The following is a 6,179-nucleotide window of genomic DNA, read 5'->3' on the forward strand; positions in this document are numbered from 1 at the left end:
AGCTGGGATTACAGGCATAAACTATCATGCTCAGCTAATTTTGTATTTTTTTTTTTTTTTTAGAGACGGGGTTTCTCCATGTTGGTCAGGCTGGTCTCGAACTCCCGACCTCAGGTGATCTGCCCGCCTTGGTTGGACTGTATTCTTACAATAAAGCTAGAGAAAATAAAATGTTATTAAGAAAATCATAAGGAAGAGAAAGTATTTTTTGCTATTTATTAAGCAGATCATCACAAAGATCTTCGTCCTCATCATCTTCACTGAGTTGAATAGGCTGAGGAGAACAAGGAAGAGAAGGGGTTGGTCTTGCTGTGTCAGGGATGGCAAAAGCAGAATACAATGTATGTATAAGTGGAACTGCAGAGTTCAAACCTGTTTTGTTCAAAGGTCAGCTGTAGTTTGTTACATTTTATTATCAAAGTTTTCAAACATATATAGAAGTAGAGAGAATAGTAAAATGAACTCTATATACTGATATCCCAAATTCAATAATTAACACTGTTTAGCCTATTTAATTCATCTATCACTGTTTTTTTAGTTACAATTCTAAAGCAAATTCCTGTAATTATGTCTTTTCACCTCAAAATGCTTTGCTAAATATATTTTAAAATAAAAATATTTTCTTTCAAAACCACAATACTATTATCACACTGAACAAAATACCAGTTATTTCTTAGTATTTCCTAATACTTGACAACCAAAATGAGTGACTCAGGCATAAGTCTCAGTCATTGAGGTTTACTAAGCCAGCTGTAGGACCTGCCGGGGAAAAACAAAGCCACAGACACATCTGTGACTATCTTTCCAAAGAGGTTTTCGGGAGGTTTAGTATTTGTCAATTTCCTTAAAGGGGTGGGGAAGGGATATAGGAAGAGGGGTAGGTATGCAGTTAGGCGAATAGTTACATTCTTGTGAGACTTTAGTTAGTCCCCAATAAATCTACATTTTTACATAAATAAGGTGAATGTCTTAAAAGGAAAAGGGAGTAAAAGAAGAGTCAATTATGTAGATGTATGTGGAGGTAGAGGAGAGTAGGTGGAGGAATGAGTCTTGACTTTGTTCTGCACCTGGGAAGATAAACTTGTAATCAACATTATTGTAATCACCGAGGGTTCTTCTTACTGCCTAGAAAAGCCAGTGCGCTGAGGACAGCAGGTTTTGAAGCAAATAAATAGTTTAATAATTGCAGGGCCAGCCAAATAGAAGAATGGGAGATATCTCAAATCTGTTTCCCTGAGAATTCAAAGGCTGGGATTTTTCAAGGATAGTTTGGTGGGCAGGGGCTAGGGAATGAGGAATACTGATTGATTTAGTTGGGAATGAAATCATAAGGGGTCGAAGCTGTCTTCGTGCACTGAGTTAGTTCCAGGGTGGAGGTCAGTTTCTTGGTATGGGATACTGGTCTGGGTGACATCATCTGGTCCATCAGAATGCAGGGTTTGAAAAATACCTCAGGCACCAGTTCTAGGTTTTACAGTAGTGACGTTATCTATAGGAGCAATTAAGGAGGTTACAAATCTTGTGACTTACAGCTTTGTGACTCCTTGTGGACAATTTGTTAGCTTTACGAAGGCAGTTTCAGTCCCTAAGCAAGGAAGGGGTTAGTTCCAGGAGGGGACTTTTACCATCTTTGTTTTTTTTTTTTTTTTTTTTCAGACGGAGTCTCGCTCTGTCGCCCAGGCTGGAGTGCAGTGGCGGGATCTCGGCTCACTGCAAGCTCCGCCTCCCGGGTTCACGCCATTCTCCTGCCTCAGCCTCCCAAAGTAGCTGGGACTACAGGCGCCCGCCACTACGCCCGGCTAATTTTTTGTATTTTTAGTAGAGACGGGGTTTCACCGTTTTAGCCGGGATGGTCTCGATCTCCTGACCTCGTGATCCGCCCGCCTCGGCCTCCCAAAGTGCTGGGATTACAGGCGTGAGCCACCGCGCCCGGCCCCATCTTTGTTTTAAAGTTAAACTCTAAACTGAATTCTTCCCATAGTTAGCTTGGCCTATGCACAGGAATGAGCAAGTACAGCTTGTGGGGTGAGAACCAAGATGGAGTCACTTATGTCAGATTTCTCCACTGTCATCATTTTTGCAAAGGCTCTTTCATGATCAGTGTGGAGTTTTAGGAGCTAGACTTAGATTGTAGAACTAAAGCAACAATTGGCATGTGCCTGTTTATGAGAGGTCAGCAAAAATTTTACTTATGAGTAATCTATGGGGAAAGCTCTTCCCAAATACCTGAGGCTTTTCACCTTTCATGGGGATCTGGCTAATGCACAGCTGTTCGTTTGGAAGAGGGTATTGCAATGACTGAACTCCAGGGCTTAATCTCCACACTTGCCTAAGTTTGGAGGATCCTGAGATGTTTATTTTCCTTTACATACCCAATCTCTATTAAAATTTTCCTGATTACCTAAAAATATCTCATGACTGGTTTGTCAAATCAATATCTAGCCCATTCATTTTATTTATCTACTTAGGTGTATTTATTATTGAACACTACTACATCACTCCTTTGTTTCAGACCCTGACCTGTTGAAGGAATTAGGTCAGTTGTTATGATATTACACATTCCGGATTTCTCCAACTTTTCTGGCCTCTGTCCCTAGTTCCTGGGAGGTGGCATCTAAACTCTTAAAATATCCTGAATTATAGAAGCTCTTTGTTATTCACGGTGGGCCACTCACACTATACCTGACAGATTGTGCTAAAGAGGTGACACATGATGGGCCTCTGGATAAGTTATGCTAGTGAGATTACTTCAGATAGGTGCTAGTTACACCAGACAGATCGATCATGTGATTTGAAGTTTGGGACTATGAGCCAAATAACACCAGCCTGTGTAGAGGATGGGGGCTAGACACTGAGTTACATGTCAGTTCAATCAGTCATACCTACGTAATAAAGCCCCAATAAAATCTATGAACACAAGCTTGGATAGACTTCTATGGTTGGCAAGTATTCTCATACAGCTATGTGCTGGGAGGGTAATGTGTCCTGACCCCAAGAGAAAGAACCATGGAATTTTTCATCTGGAACCCTCCCAGACCTTGTCCTATGCGTTTCTACCTTTGGTTGGTTTTGATTTGTATCCTTTTTTTTTTTAATAATAAAGCTGTAGTTAATAAATATAATTTTCCTGGGTTCTGTGAGTTGTTTCAGTAAATTGTTAAACCTGAGAGGTTAGTGATCAGAAGTGGTCAGCTGGTCAGAAGTGAGGGTGGCATGGAAACCCTTGAACTTGCAGTTTGGAATGAAAAAAGTCTTCTGAGCACTGTGCACTTGAACTGTGAAGTTTGACCTAACACTGAGTAATTAGTTTCAGAAGTAATTACACCACTTAATAATATGGGCTAATACCTTTACGAACCTCAGGGCAGAAAGTATTTTGTTTAGAGACAGGGTCTCATTCTGTTGCCTACCTTGGAGCGCACTGGTGAAATCATCATAGCTCACTGTAATTTTAAACTCCTGGGCTCAAGTAATCCTCCTGCTTCAGCCTCTTGAGTAGCTAGGACTACAGGCATGTACCACCATGCCTGGATCATTTTTTAACTTTTTTTTTTGGTAGAAATGAGGTCTTCCTATGTGGCCTAGGCTGGTCTCTAACTCTCAGCCTCAAGCAATCTTAATCCTCCCACCTCAGCCTTCCAAAGTGCAGAGGATTACAGGCATGACCACCTTACTTGATCAAAGTTTTCTTAATATGTGCATACCTGGGAGATATTGCAGGTTTGGGTCCAGACCACTGCAATAAAATGAGTATCTCAATAAAGTGAGTCACATGAATTTTTTGGTTTCTTATTGCACATAAAAGTTATGTTTATACTATACTGTAAACATACCATTTACCTGTGTAATAGCATTATGTCTAGTGGCTCATGCCTGTAATCCCAGCACTTTGGGAGGCCAAGACGGGTGGATCACGAGGTCAGGAGATAGAGACCATCCTGGCTAACACGGTGAAACCCCGTCTCTACTAAAAATACAAAAAAATTAGCCGGGCGTGGTGGCAGGCGCCTATAGTCCCAGCTACTCGGGAGGCTGAGGCAGGAGAATGGCGTGAACCCGGGAGGCGGAGGTTGCAGGGAGCCAAGATCGTGCCAGCCTGGGTGACAGAGTGAGACTCTGTCTCAAAAAAAAAAAAAAAAAAAAAAAAAAGCAATGTAGATACCTTAATTTAAAAATACTTTGTTGATAAAAAATGCTAACAATCATTTGAGCCTTCTGTGAGTTGTGTAATCTTTTATCTGGAGGAAGGTCTTCCCTTGATGTTTATGGCTGCTGACTGATCAGGGTGGTAGTTGCTGAAGGCTGGGGTGGCTGTGGAAATTTCTTAAAATAAGACAACAATGAAGTTTGCCCCCGTGATGGACTCTTCCTTTCATGAAAGATTTCTCTGTAGCATGTGACGGTGTTTGATAGCATTTTACCCAAAGTAGAACATCTCTCAAAATTGGAGTCAGTCTTCTCAAACCCTGCCACTGCTTTATCACCTAGGTTTACATCATATTCGAAATCCTTTGTTGTCATTTTAACAGTGGTCACAGCATCTTCACTAAAAGTAGATTCCATTTCATGAAACCACTTTCTTTGTTCATCCTTAAGAAACAACTCCTTATCCTTTCAAGTTTTATCATGAAATTGTAGCCATTTTGTCACATCTTCAGGCTCCACTTCAAATTATACTTTTCTTGATATTTCTAATACATTTGCACCACCTGAGTGCTACTGTCCATTTCAGAGTCTACTTCCCAGGGAATGCAACCCGCAACAATGCTTCTCTTTGGGCAGCAGGCTCCTTTCTCTAAAGGCTGCTAATCTTTGGTGCATCACCCAGTCAGTGCATATTTCTCTTGGTACCACGCTTAGCTAAGCTATACTTCTTCCACGTATTCTGGATTGAGAAATTGCATTTTCCACTTCTATGATATCACTGGGTATTTGTTAACTCAATTTCCCCTATTAGTAGTAATGATATTATTAGTATTAATATTTTTAAATTATAAAATCATAATCTACTATTTTCTTTTAAATAATACTAAAGATAACAGCTAAAATCTCCTTCGACCACCACAGCTGCCCAGTACTCTTCTCCATTCCCTGTCTTTAAGGTAGAGACCATTATCAGTTTAGTATCTATTCTTATGGACTCTTTTTTGTTTGTTTGTTTTATTGTATTTTTATTTATTCTGGACTCTTTATTCTGTATTTTATTTATTTATTCTGGACTCTTTTATATGTATTTAAATGTGTAGAATGTGTGTCCTTGTAAGACTTAAAGAACATCATTCATCTTACATGCTATATAATATTTTGCAAATGTGCTTATACAGTTTATATGAAAGACACAGAAATTGTTTTCAATTTTTCCACTATTACAACAAAGCTGCAATAAACGTCTCATTCATGCCCTCCTATGAGGTGTGACCATTCTCCATGGGAGAGGCAGAAAAATTGCAATTGCTAGGTCATGTGGTAAGCATATTTAAACATTTGATAGCTACTGCTAATTAATTCCTCAAAGCAATTGCACTAGTTTCCACTCCCACAAGCAGTTTATGAGAGTAGCAAATTCACCACATTTTCTTGAAAAAATTGAGACAACCTGGCAGGGTGCAGTGGTTCACACCTGTAATCCCAGCACTTTGGGAGGCCGAGGTGGGCAGATCACCTGAGGTCAGAAGTTCGAGACCAGCCTGGCCAACACGGTGAAACCCCATCTGTACTAAAAATAAAAAAGTTAGCCAGGTGTGGTGGTGCATGACGGTAATCCCAGCTACTTGGGAAGCTGAGACATGAGAATCACTTGTACCTGGGAGGTGGAGATTGCAATGAGCCGAGACCATGCCACTGCACTCCAGCCTGGGCAAGAGAGTGAGATTGTCTCAAAAAAAAAAAAAAAAGAAAGAAAAAAAAGAAAAAACTTTGACAACCTTAAGGGATAAAAATAGATCTGGCTGTAGTTTTGACTTCCCTAGTTACTAACATGGTTGGGTACCTTTACATATTTTCACTATCAATTTGAACTTTTATTTAAGTGACTTGCCTGTTCATTATGATATTTTTTCTATTATATATATTTTTTATTTTTTGCAATATGTATTGTTGGGGTTGCCTCTCTCTGATTTCTAATCCTTTGGTTTTGTTCACACAGTGAAACATTATTTATGTCACATATCGCTGATAGG

This window comes from Homo sapiens, chromosome 19, assembly GCF_000001405.40.
Source record: "Homo sapiens chromosome 19, GRCh38.p14 Primary Assembly".
Taxonomy (NCBI): Eukaryota; Metazoa; Chordata; class Mammalia; order Primates; family Hominidae; genus Homo; species Homo sapiens.